General features: G+C 46.2%; 1 pseudogene across 1 annotated transcript, besides 1 other annotated feature; it reads left to right on the top strand.

Annotated features, from left to right (window-relative positions):
* Nucleotides 2,177–3,123: an enhancer, noted in NCBI's record as "OCT4-NANOG-H3K27ac hESC enhancer chr9:96109682-96110628 (GRCh37/hg19 assembly coordinates)". NCBI's record gives its function as "activates a minimal SCP1, AML or CMV promoter by ChIP-STARR-seq in primed H9 embryonic stem cells {active_cell/tissue: H9 hESC(primed)}" and the evidence as "EXISTENCE:reporter gene assay evidence [ECO:0000049][PMID:30033119]".
* Nucleotides 4,220–21,035, top strand: FAM120A2P (family with sequence similarity 120A2, pseudogene; annotated as a pseudogene). The gene is made up of 3 exons (NR_166069.1): nucleotides 4,220–4,449; nucleotides 14,547–14,647; nucleotides 14,863–21,035. The product of NR_166069.1 is annotated as a family with sequence similarity 120A2, pseudogene (transcript).
* Nucleotides 21,036–21,654: the final 619 nt, after the last annotated feature.

Here is a 21,654-nt window from a genome sequence, read left to right as displayed (position 1 = left end):
GGGAGTAGAGGTATCTTATACTTGTGGGTTAAGGTGGGGGGATACAAGAGGAGGACACAAAGGAGGCTTTGGATTGGGAAGAAGGGCGGCAATGAGATATAGCTGTAGTCCAGGAATAGTCAGGGAAGCACATAATTTAGTTAAAGTGTCTCAGCCTAATAAGGGAAATGGGCAGGTGGGGATAACTAAAAAGGAGTGCTTAAAAGAGTATTGTCTAAGTTGGCACCAGAGTTGGGGAGTTTTAAGAGGTTTAGAAGCCTGGCTGTCAATACCCACAACAGTTATGGAGGCAAGGGAAACGGGCCCTTGAAAAGAAGGTAATGTGGAGTGGGTAGCCTCCGTATTGATTAAGAAGGGGATGGGCTTACCTTCCACTGTGAGAGTTACTGGCAGCTCGGCATCCATGATGGTCTAGGGGGCTTCCAAGGCGATCGGGCAGTGTCAGTCTTCAGCCGCTAAGCCGAGAAGATCTGGGAAGGAGTCAGTCAGAGAGCCTCGGGCCAGAGTTCCAGGAGCTCTGGGAGTGGCTGCCAGGTGAGTTGAATAGTCCGATTTTCAGTGGGGTCCCACACAGATGGGACGTGGCTTAGGAGGAATCCCAGGCTGCGGGCATTCCTTGGCCCAGTGGCCAGATTTCCGGCACGTGTAGCAAGCTCCTGGGGGAGGAGGTTCTGGAGGAACGCCTGGCTGCTGCGGTTCAGGCGTTTGGAAGTTCTTGTGTGCTGGAGATGTGGCTGGGGTTTGTCTCACAGTGGAGGCAAGGAAGTGCCACTTTTTTCTATTATTGTACACCTTGAAGGCGAGGTTAATTAAATCCTGTTGTGGGGTTTGAGGGCCGGAATTTAATTTTTGGAGTTTTATTTAATGTCGGGAGCAGATTGGGTAATAAAATGTATATTGAGAATAAGATGGCCTTTTGACTTTTTAGGGTCTAGGGCTGTAAAGTGTCTCAGGGTTGCTGCCAAACGAGTCCTGAACTGGGCTGGATTTTTATATTTGATGAAAAAGAGCCTAAACGCTATCCGATTTGGGATAAAGAAAAAGGAGCATTAACCTTGACTACGCTTTTAGCTCCAGCCACCTTTTTAAGAGTAAATTGCTGGGCAGGAGGGGGAGGGCTAGTCACGGAACGAAACCGTAAGCGGGACCAGGTGTGAGGAGGGGAGGTGATAAAAAGATTATAGGGTGGAGGAGCGGAGGCTGAGGAAGAATTGGGACCTAGCTTGGCCTGGCGAGGAGCAGCCTGGGGAGGAAGGGAGAGGTCAGATGGGTCTGTAGAAAAGGAAGATTAGAAAGACTCAGCGATGCTTGGGATTGGTACTGAGGGGACAGGCGGGAGGGAAAGAAGGAAGATTTGGGACGAGTTGCACTGGGCACAGAGACTAGGAAGGGACTGACGTGTAAAAGAATGCCTGGACGTCAGGCACCTCAGACCGTTTGCCTATTTTACGACAAGAATTATTTAGATCTTGCAGGATGGAAAAATTCAAAGTGCCATTTTCTGGCTATTTGGAACTATTGTCGAGTTTGTATTGGGGTCAAGCGGCATTGCAGAAGAAAATAAGGCATTTAGGTTTTAGGTCAGGTGTGAGTTTAAGAGGTTTTAAGTTTTTGAGAACACAGGCCAAGGGAGTAGAAGGACGAATGGAGGGTGGAAGGTTGCCCATAGTGAAGGAACCAAGCCTAGAGAAAAGAGAGAGTAGAGAAACGGAGGGAAGGGGTTCGGGGGTTCTTACCTTCCAGAAAAGTGGGAAAAGGGGTTGGGGCGCAGAGATAAGAGGTCGGGGCACGGAAATAAGGGATGGGGTGCAGAAATAAGGGGTCGGGGCATGGAAATAAGGGGTCGGGGTACAGAAATAAGGGATTGGGGCGCAGAGATAAGAGGTCGGGACGTGGAAATAAGGGATTGGGGCGCAGAGATACGAGGTTGGGGTACTTGCCCCTCCTCTAGAAAAGTGGGACTTGCCGCTAAGAGTGAAGGAGAAGGGGTGGAGGGGTACTTGCCCCTCTCCCAGAAAAGCGGGACTTGCCGCTAAGGGTGAAGGACCAAGGTAGGCGTCCCTACGTGGTCTGACACCCTTGAAACGTTAGTGTATAATCAGAGAGGTGTCCCTGCAATGATTAAACACTAAGGGAAGGCTGCCTTCCCAGTCCGTGACCGGCGCTGGAGTTTTGGGTCCACGGATAAAACTTGTCTCCTTTGTCTCTACCAGAAAATGAAAGGAATTGAAATTAAGAGAAGGGAGAGATTGAAGTGTGGTGCCAAGATTGAAAGGAGAAAGAGGTTGAGGGATAGTGAGGGAGGTTGGAGAAGAGAGTAAAAAGAGGCCGCTTACCGGATTTGAAATTGGTGAGATGTTTCTTGGGCTGGTCGGTCTGAGGACCTGAGGTAGTAGGTGGATCTTTCTCACGGAGCAAAGAACAGGAGGACAGGGGATTGATCTCCTAAGGGAGGTCCCCCGATCCGAGTCATGGCACCAAATTTCATGCGCTTCTGTGTGAAGAGACCACCAAACAGGCTTTGTGTGAGCAACATGGCTGTTTATTTCACCTGGGTGCAGGTGGGCTGAGTCCGAAAAGAGAGTCAGCAAAGGGAGATAAGGGTGGGGCTGTTTTATAGGATTTGGGTAGGTAAAGGAAAATTACAGTCAAAGGGGGTTTGTTCTCTGGCGGGCAGGAGTGGGGGTCCCAAGGTGCTCAGTGGGGGGTGCTTTTTGAGCCAGGATGAGCCAGGAAAAGGACTTTCACAAGGTAATGTCATCACTTAAGGCAAGGACCGGCCATTTACACATCTTTTGTGGTGGAATGTCATCAGTTAAGGTGGGGCAGGGCATATTCACTTCTTTTGTGATTCTTCAGTTACTTCAGGCCATCTGGGTGTATACGTGCAAGTCACAGGGGATGCGATGGCTTGACTTGGGCTCAGAGGCCTGACGCTTTTCATACATTAACATGTGGAGCCCATTTTAAAAGCTCTTTAACAGTGACTGTCGAAACAGCTTCCTAGTTATTCATATAATGTTTCTTCTTTTTTTTTAAGTTTTCAAATTAGTTTTAGAAAAACTTAAACACTGATGAATTTGGGCCGCTATCAAATCCTTAAGAAGCATTTTTGCCAAATAAGATGGGCAAACGTCCTACATCTGCTAAATCTGACATGAGAGGCCATGTATTTTTGAAAAAAATGAATAAATAACGATTTCTAACAGTCGCTGAGCCTTTTTTTTCTGTTTGTTTTTCTTTTCTTTCTTTCTTTCTTTCTTTTTTTTTTTTTTTTTTTTGAGACAGTCTCCCAGGCTGGAGTGCAGTGGCGCAATCCCGGCTCACTGCATCCTCCACCTCCCGGGTTCAAACGATTCTCCTGCCTCAACCTCCTGAGTAGCTGGGACCACGCTCAACTAATTTTTGTATTTTTAGTAGAGAAGGGGTTTCACCATATTGGCCAGGCTAATCTCGAATTCCTGACCTCAAGTGATCCACCTGCCTCGGTCTTCCAAAGTTCTGGAATTACATGCGTGAAACACCGCACCCGGCCTAGCCTTTTAGTTTAAAATTATTTCAGTGTTATTTTCACACTCTATGTTTGATAATACAATTTTTTTTTTGAGGCCGTTAGGCTTAAAGTATATTTCTTAAGAGCCGACCTAGCACATAAAGCCGGCCAGTCTGTACTGCTGATGGACCCTCAGTAGATTTGGGGTGCTGACAGCAAGGGGCAGTTTCAATAAAGAACTTCACTGCGAGGAATGACATCCGAAAGAGATGGTGCTGGAAGGCAGGCGGGAGACCAGGGTGGGAGCAGAAGAGGAAGCCGCCGACGAGGGAAGGAGATGGTGTGGGACGCCGAAAGCGAAGGGCGAGCAGAGGAGCGAGGAGCGGAGCGCAGTGCGGGCAGAACCGGCGGTAAGGGCGTGGGAAAGGCCGTGTTTTCAAATGAGGCGGGCGCCGGGAGAGGCGAGCCCGGCCGGGGGAGCCACGCGCTCTGGTGGGGAAGAGCTGCCTGCAGACTGAAGCCGAGAGGAGGAAGCAGTGGATCTCCAGGCGTCCTTGCAAACTCCCGTTCCCTCCCCGCGCCCCTCGTGGCCCCCAGCCCGTTGGCGGCGGGAAGGCGCAGGATTCGGAGCTCAGAGGCCCGGGCCGCCGGCCGCCTCCCCTCCGTGGCTCTAGGGCGGAGGCGGAGGCGGGGACCGGGGTATCTCGCTCGCGCAGCCTGGAGCCCATGCTGGGCTCAGCCCGACCCTGCTTTGGCCGCTGCCCGCCGGGTCTCCAGCGCCGCCGGACCCTCACGCCGCCACCTTCTCTCCAGCCCAGCGCCGCTGCGGCCGCAGCCTCCTGCCGAGCATCTTCCAGATCCCAATCCCTGAGAATCAGTTCTGGGATGTAACAGAGCAAGCGGACATTATTCTGGGACCAGCAAGCCTCGGTCACTGCAGCCACCACACTACGTGGGTAAGTAAAGGCCTCTGGGATCAGCATGGACCATGCGGTAATCCAAAGAGGTTGAAGTATTCATTCACCATAAAATCTTACAGATTTATTCCCTTGAAACGCGATTTTCTGCAGTCATACAGCCTGAGACAGCTGAGTGCTCTAGCAAAAGGACCAAAGGACGCAGGTCCTCTAGGGCAGAAGGAGTGAAAACATGAAAGAGACCACATGGCGGCCCACACTGCCCGAGGCCAGGCCTGGCTGACAGCTGGACGGCTGGACCCACTTGGTGGCCCTTCAGTCCTACTGTGGGCGGGAGCAGAGCCCCCGGGGCCTCCTGCAGAGGAGTGGGCTCAGTAGGGGGCAGGGACGGCCTTGCGGGTTGGGGACTGACCAAGCCTGGGGACTATGACCCATAAGTGGGGCCCATTATACAAGCTGGTGATGACTTCCTTATTTTCTCCAGAGATGGTATGATACTCCACAGTGTGGAGGTGCCATATTTAGCCATGTCCCTGCTGTCAGCATCAAGAATATGTTTTTTGCTATTATTATGACTTTTGAACCCAAATGCCCATCAACGATAGACGGGATAAAGACAATGTGGTACATATACACCATGGAATATTATGCAGCCATAACAAGGAATGAGATCAGGTCAGGCATGGTGGCTCACACTTTGGGAGGCCAAGGTGGGAGGATCACTTGAGACCAGGAGTTTAAGACCTGCTTGGCCAACATGGCAAAACCCCGTCTACTGAAAACATTATACAAAAATTAGTCTGGATGGCGGCGCACACCTGTAATCCCAGCTACTCGGGAGCCTGAGGCACGAGAATCGCTTGAACCTGGGAGGCAGAGGCTGCAGTGAGCTGAGATTGTGCCAGTGCACTCCAGCCTGAGCGACAGAGCAAGACCCTGTCTTAAAAAAAAAAAAAAAAGAGGAATGAGATCATGGCCTTTGCAGGGACATGGATGGAGCTGGAAGCCATTATCCTCAGCAAACTAACACAGAAACAGAAAACCAAATACTGCATGCTGTAACTTATAAGTGTGAGCTGAACAATGAGAACATGGACACAGGGAGGGGAACAAGACACACTGGGGCCTGTCGAGGGTTGAGGTGAGGGAAGGGAGAGCATCAGGAAAAATAGCTAATGCACGCTGGGCTTAATCCCTAGGTGATGGGTTGATAGGTGCAGCAAGACACCATGGCGCATGTTTACCTATGTAACAAACCTGCACGTACTGCACATGTACCCCAGAACTTAAAATAAAAAATAACATTAAAAAAGAATTTTATTTTCACCAGGTATTCAATATTATACTTTTGCCATATTTTACTAATAACTTTAGAATTTTGACATTCCTTAAAAATGTTTTACATTAAATCCTCACTTTGTTCTATAACTTTGCTTACTAGACTTGTCCTTTCCTAGGTTTTTACTAAAGTTTTTTTTTTTGTGTGGTTGTTAGGAAAACCTGTTAATGTAACAAAAAATAGAAGGAACAGTAGAATGAGTGGTGGCATACCTACTTCAGGTTACACAAATGGCAACCTGTGCTTGAGATCATTCTTTCATAAAAAAGAGATGCATCAGGCCTAAGTCATGTACAGCTCCCTTGAACATGTTTTTATATTTTCTCACCTCATACCTATGGGATAATTAATAGCATTGCTTTGCTTTTTAATTAAAGGCTGTATTGTATATGCCAGTCTGTGCTTGCTCTTTTTGAGATGTGTCCTTGTTCATCTTTATCAGTTTTGTTGTTGTTGTGTTTGAGACAGAGTCACACTCTGTCGCCCAGGCTGTAGTGCAGTGGCACGATCTTGGCTCACTGCAGCTTCCGCTTCCTGGGTTCAAGTGATTCTCCTGCCTCAGCCTCCTGAGTAGCTGGGATTACAGGCGTGTACGCCTGGCTAATTTTTGTATATTTAGTAGAGACAGGTTTCAGCATGTTGGTCTCGAACTGCTGATCTCAAGTGATCCACCCGTCTCAGCCTCCCAATGTGCTGGGATTACAAGCATGAGCCACCATGCCCGGCCAGTTTTTATCTTTAAAGCTAACGCAGATGACGTTGATGTTAAGCCCCGGAGGCTGACAGAATAAAGGGCACCAGAGGGAAGTCAGGGCATTACTCCCGTTGAGTAGAAAGGCCACTCATCTTGCCCTTCCGGTCCACAATTCCCAAGTAGAAAATTGGATTCTCCTGCTGGTGCTGGGGGCTTTGCTTTCAGTGTCTGCTCTGTGACCTTTCGCTCTATTTTCAGTGAGTTCGTGGTAGTTAGTGTGAAGTAGGAAGTGACACAGGCTGCCTGATCGTGTGGCTGTTTTGGAAGGTCATTTTTATTTTGAACTTAAAAATCAGATGTTTTGGAAGAACCTACACCCACCTTTGAGCTATTGTCTGATTTAAAAGACTGCAGCATGTGTCTTCCCAAAGTGGATGCACTTAGGTTTATTAATGTTGTATTTGTTAATGGCATTTCGATATTTGGTTACAAATGAGGAATGTCAGTTCAGTTTACCAGTGACTTCAAAATAGAGACCTGGTAGAGTTTTCTTTTAGGTTGTGCTTTTCCAAAACCCACAAATGGACAGAAACTAATTTATCTTATTTCATCATAGACTTACAAAACACATTTCAGTGGCTAAATGGGATTTGGGATTTTTGTTTGTTTTTTTGTGTTGCTTTTGTGAGTGTGTGTAGAAACAGTCTTGATGTGTTGCCTGGCCTGGTCTGAACTGCCTCAGCCTCCCAGTGTCGGGATTGTAGTCATGAGCCACCGTAACCAGCCTTGATGAGATGTAATGTTCCTATTCTGCCTTCTTGAACTTTGCTCAGTCAGTACAAGTATTCTGTTCAAACTGATTAATTAAACCCAGGAACTGAATACATTTAGATAAAACTTGCTACTTGAGACTCGGGCACCGGGTGGATTCGAATGATGCCGTATCTCGTGATGTCTACCCTCTCACTATCCACATTCAGGGATGGGAAGGATTTGGGGAGTGAGGAATGTTTATAGAAGTTCAGCCCAGCTCCCTGCTGTAGAATGTTCTTGTATGAGCAGTCCAGCAGTCAGTAAAGCAACCCTTTTCATTGTTGAACTGCTCTCGTTCTTAGAAAGTTCTTGTTTCTGTTGACTTGAAATTTGCTTCCGTGGTTTAATTTTTCCCGCTGTTCCGAATTCTTTCACATGCCACGCAGGATGTGCCTGTTCACTGAGTTCATAATCTTACTTCTCACGGGCCTTGTACTTAGCCTTCTTCAAGCTGATCATGCCTCAGGTTTTGCCTCCTTCTGTCACCAGGCCTCCTCTTCTGGGCACCGGCCTCTGGCTCTTCCCTTGGGGTCTGGCCAACACCGCAGGCTTTGGGCCAGCATCAGCTGCCCCGGGGCTCTTAGCTCTTGGGAGTTGCTCCTCCATCCTTTGCCTCCCTGGGCACCGACCTCGTGCCTGGTCTCAGTCCAGGCTCAGCCAGCCAGACCGGCTCTACGGGGCCTCCTCTCCCTACAGGATGGCCAGACGCCGCGCCCTCCCACTGTGCTCCAAGGCCCCACCCTGCCTCTCTGGACACTGGATCTGTAGTGTAACGGGAACAGGTCACATGAGAGTTTCCTTTCTATACCTTTTTATCTTCTGTAGACTATTGAGACTTAGTAAGCATGTCTGTTTGCACATGCTTAAAATGGTTGGAAAATTTTGCCTTGTCTATGTTTGCAAGCAATGAAAATTAAAGGTGGTAGGGATTATACTGACTTATTTAATCTTGGGCTCAACATTTTCAAAGCTATATTTTTTGGGTAATATATGAAAATCATACAATGTCTGCCCGTACAGTTTTTTTTTTTTTGCCTGTGTATTTTTTTTTTGAAGACTTACTTTGTCCTCTTCTTTGTTTTGTTTAACATAACATTTCAGAATAATATGCCAAGTAATGGATGAGCGTTTGTTAGGTTGGGCTAGGAATGGGGACTGGGGTAAGGCAGACTGTAGTTCTAAGAAGAGGTTCCAGTTTAACACCATTCCTTTAAGAATTATATGTTATTTTAATTCAGAGCAAAGGCCACACAGCTGCATATAGGCATAAGTGAGTCTTTTGAGGAAGTAGGTAACTGAGCTATAAAAAGTCGAGATTGCAGCCAGGTACGGTGGCTTATGCCTGTAATCCCAGCACTTTGGGAGGCCAAGGCAGGCGGATCACCTGAGGTTGGGAGTTCGAGACCAGCCTGACCAACATGGAGAAACCCCATCTCTACTAAAAATACAAAAAGTTAGCTGGGCATGGTGGCGCATGCCTGTAACCCTAGCTAGTCAAGAGGCTGAGGCAGTAGAATCGCTTGAACCCAGGAAGCAGAGGTTGTGGTGAGCCAAGATCACGCCATTGCACTCCAGCCTGGGCAACAAGAGCAAAACTCTGTCTCAAAAAAAAAAAAAAAAAAAAAAGTTGAGACCGCACAGCTGAGGGACTGCAGTGCGTGTTTCTTTTCTCTTCATTCTGAAAGAACTTTTTACTATTTAAAAACTAATTTTAAAGTTATGAAATATTTCAAAATATAATAAACTTTTTTTGGCCTTTTTTCCTCTTTTTGCTTCTTGTATTCAGTCTGCATACTATTTTAACAAAAGCCCACCTCTCTAGTAAGTGTGAAAGGAAGAGAGTGAGAAACTGGTGGTGTGATCTCTACTCTGGAGCCCCGTGTCCCTTCTGAGAAAGATGCCTCTTGTTGTAGAGAGGACACACAGTGGTTCTGCTCAGCTGCACTTGGGCATGGAGAACAAGAACCGATATAGACGAAGGCCTGAATCCGCAGAGGCAGACCCTGGGTTAGGAGGCACTTCTGCAGCCTTCAGAAAATGCAGACAAATTAATTCACTTATTGGACTGCTTTAATAGAATAGTGACTTGCTCTGTGGATTCACAGAGGATTATTTGAGGTCAATGATTGGAATGTGATTTTAGAAAATATTCTTTCCCTGGAATTCTTTGGTTTTATGCTGTAATGTAGTTTGTTTGTTTGTTTGTTTGTTTGCTTTAGAGGAAAATTGGTGCTTTCAAGGAAGGTTTTAGGATGTAATGGCCAAAAATAGAAAAACAAAAATGATCGTCTGCACTTGAATGCTGCTGCTGCATGAGACTAGCCTTGCATTTTTACTATTACAAAGTTAGGGCTGGGCATGTGGCTCATGCCAGTAATCCCAGCACTTTGGGGGCCGAGGTGGGCAGATCGCTTGACGTCAGGAGTTCGACACCAGCCTGGCCAACATGGTGAAACCCCATCTCTACTAAAAATAAAAAAACAAATAGCTAAGTGGTGGTGCATGGCTGTAGTCCCAGCTACTCGGGAGGCTGAGACAGGAGACTCCCTTGAACCCGGGGGGTGGAGGTTGCAGTGAGCTGAGGTCATGCCATTGCACTCCAGCCTGGGCAACAGAGTGAGACTCCTTCTCAAAACAAAGTTAGGTATGTGAGGATACTCACAAGACATTATACACTAGACATTTTACATTGATTTAAATTATACTGTTAGAGCTTGAATCGACTTTGTAATATTCTCTGGACCAAATCTGGCTATGATTCAGAATCACCTGTGAATGAGTTTTTGAAATAATGGTGACTTCGATCGCATACTTAGAAGTGCAGATCTAGGTGACGTACTCTTTGATTAGGAACACCTCCTTGTGTGGTCTGTGCCATGCATGTGTGTGTGGCATGCATGCCTGTGTGTGTATGTGTGTGTGTGCCGTGCATGCAAGGGTGGGGGTGTGTTTGTGTGCACTCCTGTGTGTATCTGCTCCTGTGCATGAGTGAGTGCTTGCTTGTGCACACACATCCCTTAGAGGCATGGATCTGTGGACTTATTGTTCAGTCAGGGACATGTGTGCACGTGTGTCTGTGTGCATGTTGCGTGCAAGTGTGAGGTGTCTGTGACTACAAACATGCTGGTCTCATTATTCCTAGCTTCTCATACTGCAGTTTTCTTTGTTTAGTACAAAGCTGGAAGCTCTGCCAAGGTTTTTTCTTGGTGCGAGCCAGGATCAAAGGGCTATGGTGTTTTAGAGCTTGTAAGCTGAAAGCCCTTAGAAGGTGGGAACTTCACACAGGATCATAGTCTGTAAGATTCCTGGTCCTTCTCTGGGGGCAGTCAACAATGATCTGTACCTCACTCCTAGCCTCCGTGGGCCATGCTTGGCTCTCAGGAGGCTGGGCCCAGGACAAAGTTTGCACTCCTGGTCTCACCACCCCTAGTATCGGCTTAGGGAGCCTCTTGTGAGTGCAGCCATGGATGTTTGCTTTCAGGGAGCAGGAGCAAAGGTTTGGGGAATGTTTCTGTCCTCACCTATTTTGGCAGATAGGCAGTGTGAAAGGTGGTGGTTCGTGGGTTGTGTTCCCCGTCCCTAGTGTATTTGTCTGTTTTCATACTGCTATAAAGAACTGCCTGAGACTGGGTAATTTATAAAGGAAAGAGTTTTAATTGACTCACAGTTCAGCATGGCTGGCGAGGCCTCAGGAAACGTAACAATCATGGCAGAAGGCAAAGGGGAAGCAAGGCACCTTCTTCACAAGGCAGCAGTAAGAAGTTCCAAGTGAAAGGGGAACAGCCCCTTATAAAACCATCAGATTTTATGAGAACTCACTCCCTATCATGAGAACAGCATGGGGGAAACTGCCCCCATGATCGAATTACCTCCACCTCATCTCTGCCTTGACACGTGGGGATTATAGGCATTAATTTCAAGATGAGATTTGGGTGGGGAAACAAAGCTTAACCATATCATTCTGCCCCAGCCTCTCCCAAATCTCATGTCCCTTTCATATTTCAAAACCAATCATGCCTTCTCAACGGTCCCCCAAAGTATTAATTCATTCCAGCATTAACTCAAAAGTCCAAGTCCAAAGTCTCATCTGAGACAAGACAACCCCCCTCCTCCGCCTATGTGTCTGTAAAATCAAAAGCAAGTTAGTTACTTCCTAGATACAATGAGGGTACAGGCATTGGGTAAATATGCCCCTTCCAAATGGGAGAAATTGGCCAAAATGAAGGGGCTATAGGCCCCATGCAATTCTAAAATCCGGTGGGGCCATCAAATCTTGAAACTCCAAAATGATATCCTTTGACTCCATGTCTCACATTCAGGTCACACTGATACAAGAGGTGGGCTCCCATGGCCTTGGTCAGCTCCACCTCTGTGGCTTTGCAGGGTACAGCCTCCCTCCCGACTGCTTTCACAGGCTGATGTTGAGTATCTGTGGCTTTTCCAGGGGTGTGGTGCAAACAGTCAGTGGATCTACCATTTGGGGGTCTGTAGGACTGTGGCCCTCTTCTCATAGCTGCACTAGACAGTGCCCCAGTGGGGACTCTTTGGGGGGGCTCTGACCCCACATTTCCCTTCTGCACTGCCCTAGCAGAGGTTCTCCGTGAGGGCTCCACTCCTGCAGCAAACTTCTGCCTAGACATCCATGCATTTCCATACATCCTCTGAAGTCTAGGTGGAGTTCCCAAACCTCAGTTTTTGACTTCTGTGCACCTGCAGGCCCAATACCATGTAGAAGCCACCAAGGCTTGGGGCTTTCACACTGTAAAGCAATGGCCTGAGGCCTGAGCTGTACATTGTCCTTTTTTAACCACAGCTGAGATGCAACACACCAAGTCCCAAGACTGCAAAAAGCAGCAAGGCCCTGGGCCCGGCCCATAAAACCATTTTTTCCTCCTAGGCCTCAGGGCTTGTGATGGGAGGAGCTGCCTTGAAGACCTCTGACATGCCCTGGAGACATTTTCCCCATTGTCTTGGCTATTAACATTTGGCTCCTCATTACTTATGCAAACTTCTGCAGCCAGCTTGAATTTCTCCTCAGAAAATGGGTTTTTCTTTTCTATCCCATCATCAGGCTGCACATTTTCTAGACCTTTATGCTTGCTTTTCTTTTAAACATTAGTTCCAATTCCAAATCATCTCTGTGAATGCATAAAACTGAATGCTTTTAAGAGCACCCAAGTCACTTCTTGAACGCTTTGCTGCTTAGAAATTTCTTCCACCTGATACTCTAAATCATCTCTCTCAAGTTCAAAGTTCCACAGATCTCTAGGGCAGGGGCAAAATGCCACCAGTCTCTTTGCTGAAGCATAGCAAGAATCACCTTTGCTCCAGTTCCCAACAAGTTCTTCATCGCCATCTGAGATCACCTCATCCTGGACTTCATTGTCCATATCACTATCAGCATTTTGGTCAAAGTCTTTCAACAAGAATCTAGGAAGTTCCAAAGTTTCCTACATCTTCCTGTCTTCTTCTGAGACCTCCAAACAGTTCCAACGTGTGCCTGTTACCCAGTTCCAAAGTTGCTTCCCATTTTCAGGTATCTTTATAGCTGCACCCCACTCTTTTCAGTACCTATTTATTGTATTAGTCCATTTTCATACTAGTATAAAGAAGCTTTCCTGGGACTGTGTAATTTATAAAGGAAAGAGGTTTAGTTGACTCACAGTTCAGCATAGCTGGGGAGGCCTCAGTAAACTTATAATCCTGGCAAAAGCAAAGGAGAAGCAAGGCACTTTCTTAACAAGGTGGCACAAAGGAGAAGTGCCGAGCAAAGGGGAAAGAGCCCCTTATAAAACCATCAGATCTTGTGAGAACTCACTCACTATCACAAGAACAGCATGAGGAAACGACTCCCATGATCCAGTTACCTCCACCTGGTGTCTCCCTGACACATGGGGATTATGGGGACTATGAAGTTTATAATTAAAGATGAGATTTGGGTGGGGACATGAAGCCTAACCATATCACCTGGTGTTCAGATGAAGAGGTTGTAGAAGCATATCTACTGCTTAAAGAGGGAAATTGGAGTCAGGAAGCTCTAGGCTTGGTTTTCTTCAACATTTAAAACAAACCCAAGGAAGAGATGGTGCAGCCGTGCAAGCCCCTGGTGGATCTGTTGTGTCTCACTCAGGTTTTGTATTTTCTCTGTGTCTTCAGTAGTATGTGTCTTACCGACACCGCCTTAGGGCTCCTGGCATCCTCCAGTCCAGTTCTCAGCCTGACACATCATCGGCACTCAGCACCTAAGTGTTCTGAGAGGGAGTGCAGCTCCTAGGGGTCTGTGTCCCATGTCCTCCTGTTTCCTGCTGGTGGTGTCTGGAAGTGCTGTTGACGTTTGGGCCCCATTCGGTCCTTGTTACTGCGGGTCTTGTGCTGTCTCTGGAACAGCCCTTTATGGGCACCATCTACTCACTCATTCACTTCTTTTGGCTGACATGGCCCCTGAGCTCTCTTCCTGTCCTTAGATCCCTCAAGGCCAGATGCAGTGTTGAATGTGGAGGCTTCCAGCCCCTGCCTTCTGTCCCAGCTTCAGGCTGGCCCGGCTCCTCGTCCTGCTGTCCTGCTTCAGTTCCTCCACATGGCTTTCACTCCCCTAACAGATTTCTTCAATTTGCAACGTAGTGTGGGAATGATGACTAGCACATGGCAGCACACATCAGGCAGGTTTATGAAATTATGTTTTAAGAGAACACAGAATCACAAATTACTCGTCTTGTAATACGTGTTAAAGTGTGTAACCTAATTGCTGAACAATGAAAAACAATTCCTTTTAAATTTAAAAACTCACTAGTTAGCTGAGAACCTAATGGTAGTTGCAATGTACTTTAAATAGAAAAGTCCTCTTGCTTGACAAAGGTAAAGGAAACTGTTCGGTCCGACTTTGTTCCTTTCATGCCTGCCAGGGCTTCTGGTTTCAAGGAGACCTCAGGCTAGGAGCAGCCCTGAGCAGGGAGACTGAGTTACAGAGAATCCCCACCAAGTTGCAGGCAGAGGGACAGCCGAGGCCCTCAGGAAGTACACGAGAGCAGAACCACTATGGCAAGTTCACTGAGAAATCTGGAAAGTTAGAATCCCAGCCCGAGTCCATCAAATGGAGCATCATAAAATTAAGTTTTCCTTACTGTGAAATGGCAATTTGTAATGATTTCTGAGAAGTGGGACCCATGGTGGTGTCGATGTCTGAGCCAGGTGAGGGTGAGATCCCTGGCGCCATGGGCTGGCCCCCAGGATGCCCTGGAAAACGCATTCTGTTCACAGCTGTGTGATTCTTTTCTTTCTGTGTTGGTGAAGCAGCCAGACCCGGTCCGTTTGGAATGCCTGGGATGGTGCCGCCGCATGTTCCTCCTCAGATGCTCAACATTCCGCAGACCTCTCTGCAAGCAAAGCCCGTGGTAAGGCCTTCCCTGCGTTGGGTCGGGTGGCGGGTCTCAGACAGGGTGCGTGCATTGAATTTCAACGAATGCTAAAATAAGTTCCTAACCTCTTGAATTGATACGTGAAATAGATGCCAGTGTTTGTTGAAATAAAAATGAGCCAGGAAACGTCAGCCTGGGCCTGAGTCGGGTCCTGCTGGCCACGTGTGCGTGACCTGTGCCCTTCGCTTCAGGCCCCACAGGTGCCCAGCCCAGGGGGCGCCCCGGGCCAGGGTCCATACCCGTACAGCCTCTCTGAGCCAGCACCTCTCACTTTGGACACGAGCGGGAAGAATCTGACGGAGCAGAACAGCTACAGCAACATTCCTCACGAAGGGAAGCACACGCCGCTGTATGAGCGGTCCTTGCCCATCAACCCGGCCCAGAGCGGCAGCCCCAACCACGTGGATTCCGCCTACTTCCCTGGCTCTTCTACATCGTCATCTTCCGACAACGACGAGGGCAGCGGAGGGGCGACAAAGTGAGTGGTGCGTGGGTCGCTGGGTGCTTCCTGGCGGGTAGTGACCTGGGGAAGCTGCCTTCTGACCTGCCAGCCCAGCTGGTGTTTTGCTCAGAGATGTAGTTTATTGTAGGTGGGTGACGGTCAGTCTGTACTCAGATGGGGGCTCCTTGGACAGAGAGGAGAGAGGAAGAGTAGGTATGTTCTTGAAGTTTCCATGATTTAAAATCTGCACCATCCCAGCCCCATGGCCTGGAGCCACAGGAAACTTTCTGGGGAGGAATTTGACAAGAACTGGTTTGTGTGATGACCAAAACATGGGGGCATTTGTCCGGTGTGGTGCCACTCACACCCGTCACAGCAACCCCCTGCTGACCCCCGAAACATTAATCTTCTGGCTCCTGGATCAAGGGAGCTCTGAATTTCCACTCCTTCTCCTAAACTCAGCAGGTTACAGGACACTTTGGAAATAACACTGTTTGCCCAAGCAAAACCCTAGAAAGCTGCCTAGACCCAGGCTGGAATTGTTTCCTTAGAGGAATATTTTAAACACTGTGCGGGCTGGATGCAGTGGCACATACCTGTAATCCCAGCACTTTGGAAGGCCAAGGCAGGTGGATTACCTGAGGTTGGGAGTTCGAGACCAGCCTGGCCAACATGGCGAAACCCCGTCTGTACTAAAAATACAAAAATTGGCCGGGCGTGGTGGCATGTGCCTGTAGTCCCAGCTACTCAGGAGGCTGAGTTAGGAGGATCACTTGAACCCAGGAGACAGAGGTTGAAGTGAGCTGAGATGTCGCCAGTGCACTATGGCCTGGGTGACAGAGCGAGACTCCATCTCAAAAAATACAAACAATAATAATAATAAAAACACTGTGTGTCCCTGAGTAAATGAGTTCACAAATATATAGTTGTTTAAAATCTGATCGAAGAGGCTGGGCACGGTGGCCCATGCCTGTAATCCCAGCACTTTGGGAGGCAGTGGCAGGCGGATCACTTGAGTTCAGGAGTTCAAGACCAGCTTGGCCAACATGGTAAAACCCCATCTCTACTAAAAAATATAAAAACTAGCCAGGCGTGGTGGCGTTCACCTGTAATCCCAGCTACTCTGGAGGCTGAGGCAGGAGAATCGCTTGAACCTGGGAGTTGGAGGCTGCAGTGAGCCGAGATCACGCCACTGCACTCCAGCCTGGGTGACGGAGCAAAACTCCGACTGTGGAAAAAAAAAAATTCTGATCAAGGAAATCTTAAATTTGTACTCCTCCCCTCCCTTTAAACTAATATTTTTTTTAAAAAAAAAAGAAAGAGAAAGAAAATGTCTTTACTTTAAGTCAGTGTCTCTTTTTCCTTAGTGTGAACTCCACAGAGTAGATAACCAGGGCTGGTTGATGTTACATCTATTTCTGATGTAAGAAATCTAAGAGACGTAGTTGTTAGTTTCCATGCCAGTTCTTACCTGGTGTGTCACCTGAAGCAGGTGATCTTTCCTCTCTGTCCTCTGTCCCTCTTTAAAATGGGAACGAATGTCGGTTGACCCAGGGCAGAGGTCACTGAAGGGCTCACTGCTATCCAGGGATGCACACCCTGTTTATGGCAAAGAAGTATAAAATTAATAAATGTTGATTTGCTGTATGTGCAGAGAAGTATAAAATTAATAAATGTTTATTTGCTATGTGTGCAATGCTAAAACTCTAAAATGAAGTAAAGAGTTGCAATTGAATATTCAAAGTTTTAAATTAACCTCTAACAAGATAATATATTGAGTACCCTTTGAATCAGAATCTCTGGGTTGGGGCCCCAAAATTTGCATTTTAAATAAGCACCTCAGTCAGTCTTTTGCACACTGAAGTTTGAGAACTGCTTGATGGTCTTGGAAGCCCTTATGCACTAGAATTATAAGGCATCTGCATTTTGTTGTAAAATGTGACTCATGTCATCAAGGTCAAAGTGTCTGTACAATACAGTTTTCATCTTAGTTAAATGTTCTTTCTGAACTCTGAAACATAGGTAAGAAGTAAGACAAAAGCAAAATAAGTAAGCTTTATGACCCCAACAAGAGTTCCGTGCTAGTGATGGAGATGTGGAAACCAGGTCAAGGTGCTGACTTGGGAACATGGGTGGTGACTGGGGCACGTCTCAGTTGAGATGCTTGTTCCTCCGGCAGGGAGGGATTGAGAAGAATGCGAGTTGCCCGTCTAATTTGGCAAGTTGTCTGTATTAGTCTGTTCTCATGCTGCTAATAAAGACATTACCCAAGACTGGGTAACTTGCAAAGGAAAGAGGTTTAATTGACTCAGAGTTTCCACATGGCTGGAGAGGCGTCACAATCGTGGTGGATGGCAAAGGAGGAGCAAAGTCACGTCTTGCATGGCAGCAGGCAAGAGAGCATGTGCAGGGGAACTTACCTTTATAAAACCATCAGATCTTGTAAGATTTATTCACTGTCACAAGAATAGCACAGGAAAGACATTCAATGACCTCCCACCAGATACCTACCATGACCTGTGGGAATTATGGGAGCTGCAATTCAAGATGAGATTTGGGTGGGGACACAACCAAACCATATCATCATCTTTGTTAGGATGAGCTGAACTTGGAGTGAGTAGAACTGCCCGAACATGTCCTGTCTTTTCTGGGTATGCACCTCCTACCTGTCTGTGAAGGTTATCGTCAGCTTTTTGGAGCTCTGGGCATCTGGTCTCCCTCTGACCTCTCGCAGTGCTTATTGTCTTTGTCTCCGTTATGGCATCTTTACTGTTTTCTGGAGATGCATCTTGTTTCTGCCACTGGAATTTGACCTGCTCAGAGTCTTGTGTTTTGCCATCCTTGTAGTATGAAGTGCCATGAAGAATGCAGGGTACACCCTGTAATCAAATATTGGATTCAAGCTGTGTGTTAGGAGTAACTTAATTTCCTTGAATCTGCTTCCACTTTTATTATAATAAGGAAGAGACAGACATGTTAGACTTGAGAGGAATGAAGGCAGAGGAGACGAGGGTGTTTGTTCCTGAAGGCTTTGGGGTCAGAAACTGACATTTGACTTGGGGTCAAACCCTTGATCACGGGCATCCTTTGCTTCTGGCAGGTGCAGGGGTGTGATTTGGATTTATGTGTCCACAGCTGCCAAGTAGAGACAATGTTCATGGTTTCCTGCAAGGGTTCTAGCGTGTTGAATGCATTGAATATAGTGGAGCAGAAGCCCATGAGTAGAAACCTCCGCAGGAACCAATGTGAGTGCAAGGAAACCTAAACTGTCATTGATAGATTGTTGGAGGCTCAACATGGACAAACCTGAGAATTGAAGACTCCAGAGGGCCTGGTGATGTGGGGGTCCACATGCTTTTGTGCACTTTACCTGCTAGATCTCTACGAAATTCTCACAGTAAATATTGGAGAAAAATCCCTTGTACCTCTGGCGCGGGGAAGAAAAAGAGAATTATTTAAAAATGTGAGAGAACACTTTTTTTTTGAGACAGAGTCTTGCTCTGTCACCCAGGCTGGAGTGCAATGGCACGATCTCGGCTTACTGCAAGCTCCGCCTCCCAGGTTCAAGCGATTCTCCTGCCTCAGCCTCCCAAGTAGCTGGGATTACAGGCGTGAGCCACCACACCCAGCCAGAACACTCTGTTCTTAACAAGGCCTTCTGTCAGGAGAAACTACCTAACCAGAGCCTAACCTGCTGGGTTTCACAAGAACCTAATTAATCTGAGGGAAAGGAAACACCCAAATCTAGCTCCCCATAGCTATCCCATTCCAGCTAAGCAGGGCCAGGGACTGAGAATCACATTTGAAGATCACAGCCCAGAGACTCCTTATAAGACTCAGGCCTAATAATTGGACTATAGAACCTGTGCCCCCCTGAAAAGAGAAAAAACAAATCATATAAAGTGCTCAACTGAAACAAGAGAAAGAAGAAAAAGAATGGAAGACATGGAGAAAGAATGGAAAACAGTAACAAATATAGTAAGTAGCTCTTAATCCACATATATCAATAATTAAACATCAGTGATGTACATATGCAAATTAAAAGAAAGAGGCTGTTGGATCGAATCAAGACCCAGCTATCTGTGTCTACAAGAAACTCATATATGAAGACTCGTTCTCTTTCTGTTAACAAATGGTTACAAGTACTGTGATGTGCGAATTACTGAGGTTTATTGTGGAATGAACACAGGAACTCTATTTGAATCACTGCGTGAATGGAGACGTGGTGAATGGTTCAGGGTAGATGGTGTAAGTCACAGAATGTTCTAGTAGATGGGGAAACACGCCATGGCCACTGAGTGTTATTCATTTACTTTCTCTGTTGTGCAATTGCAAAGTTCCTATTGTTGGTCGACTTTTAAATAGAATATTTCTAAGTAAATAGTGAGACAAGTTATTCTAGTTATTATCATAGTCTTTTCCAAGTGTCAAGGCTTTTTAAAAATATAGTTGAAGTCATGGTAATTTTTTAAGGAAATGTTTTTGTAGGCCTCCCAAATGACAGTGTGTTAGAATAGAAATTTTTCTTTTTTTTTTTTGAGATGGAGTCTCACTCTGTCACCCAGACTGGAGTGCAGTGGTGCGATCTCAGCTCACTGCAAGCTCCGCCTCCTGGGTTCATGCCATTCTCCTGCCTCAGCCTCCCAAGTAGCTGGGACTACAGGGGCCCGCCACCACGCCCAGCTAATTTTTTTGTATTTTTAGTAGAGGCGGGGTTTCACCATGTTAGCCAGGATGGTCTCGATCTCCTGACCTCATGATCTGCCCGCTTTGGCCTCCCAAAGTGCTGGGATTACAGGCGTGAGCCACCGCACCTGGCCTAGAATAGACATTTTTAAATTAAGTATTTAGAACAGATTTTTTTAGTCAACAGATTTTCTTTCAGGGATAATCTTTTTTTCTGTGCTTCTTTCCCTCAATGCCTTCTTTGTCCTTATTTCTCAATGGTTGTTGTGTTTTCCCCTCTTCATTTGTTTTTACTCTCATAAAGCTTCACAACCATTTCTGCAGTGCTTCTTTTTGTTGCTGTGTGCTTAGCATGCAGTAGTATTTTTATTTGAACATTTTCATACCTTAGGTTAAGATTTTCACAGTTTCTAGTACATTATCTTTTGCATTTATTGTTGTGATTATTCTCTTTGAAGTGACAGCAGAGCTTTCAACACCTGTTTTCTTACACTGGGTGTCTGGATTCTGGGAAGACTCCAGGAGTAGGTGAGAAGACCTTTTCAGTTTGTCTGGTCGTGTCAGTAAATACTGTCTTATGTTAGTAAATCACATAATTGCTAAATTCCTTAAGATTACATCATCTGAAGGGAGGGTGTCGTGTCTAAATAGCTGCACCTCCAAGAACACCTGATACACAGGTCGGCAGCATCAGAAAAAGTGGCTTTTGCTGAAAGTTATATTTTCCTACAACGTACATTTTTTATGGTCTTTGGAATTATTCACAAAATGTGATGATCATTAGCTGTCTCTTAGCCATCTCGGAAGAGTAGAGTTTGCCACGGTATCACTTAGTGATTGTGGACATTCATTAAACAGAGGCTGAGCCAATAGCGAAAAGAATGCAAATGTGCCCTTGTAAATGGGTTAGTAAACATTTCTTTTATTGCATAAGACACTGGGAGTGAATGGTATTTTTCCACACCCATGGGTGTTAGTTATACATATAACCTGTGTTTCATGAATATTTATATGTTATATGTAACTATTTTAAAGTAGTTTGTGACATTACCTAGCATAGAAAGTAGTTAAATAGTATAATTCCAACTCCAAAATTTGATTTTTAAAGTGCAACACAAGGTGTCTTATATTTTCTGTGACATATGCCTTTCACAATTCACTGACCTTTAAGAAAAAGTAGTTGGCAAACAACTAACTGATGGTATCAGAATAATAAAAGCTTTTTTAATTCCAAAATTCTAATAGCAGAATTTATTCAATTAATAGCATAAAATACGAAATCATGATTAGTGGTAAGATAATATCTGGGAATATGGTATTTCTGGATTTTCAGTTATTCTTTACATGGTACCTGATTCTTTTTTTTTCCTTGGTGAACTAATTTCAGAATTGGAATAAACTGAATACTGCTATTTATATTAGCAGCTGTAAAGTTTTATTGTAGAACATATCTTATACATTATATTAGCAAAATGGGTGATTAAGAGGACCAACATTACACTATCCTGTACTCAAATTAAACAGTGAAGGTAAAAACAAAATTTGGGGAATTTTTTTTTTTTCAGACAGAGTCTTGCTCTGTCGCCCAGGCTGGAGTACAGTGGCGAAATCTCAGCTCACTGCAACCTCTGTTTCCCGGGTTCAAGCAGTTCTCCTACCTCAGCCTCCCAAGTAGCTGGGACTACAGGCATCTGCCACCACACTTGGCTACTTTTTTCTGTATTTTTTAATAGAGACGGGGTTTCACCATGTTGGTCAGGCTAGTTTCAATCTCCTGACCTCAAGTGATCCGCCTTCCTCAGCCTCCCAAAGTGTTGGGAATACAGGCACGAGCCCCTGTGTCTAGCCCCAGGAA

The sequence above is a fragment of the Homo sapiens genome, chromosome 9 (assembly GCF_000001405.40).
Source record: "Homo sapiens chromosome 9, GRCh38.p14 Primary Assembly".
In the NCBI taxonomy this organism is placed as follows: domain Eukaryota; kingdom Metazoa; phylum Chordata; class Mammalia; order Primates; family Hominidae; genus Homo; species Homo sapiens.
The sequence above is the reverse complement of the archived record's forward strand: the minus strand, read 5'-3'. Positions and strand labels throughout refer to the sequence as shown.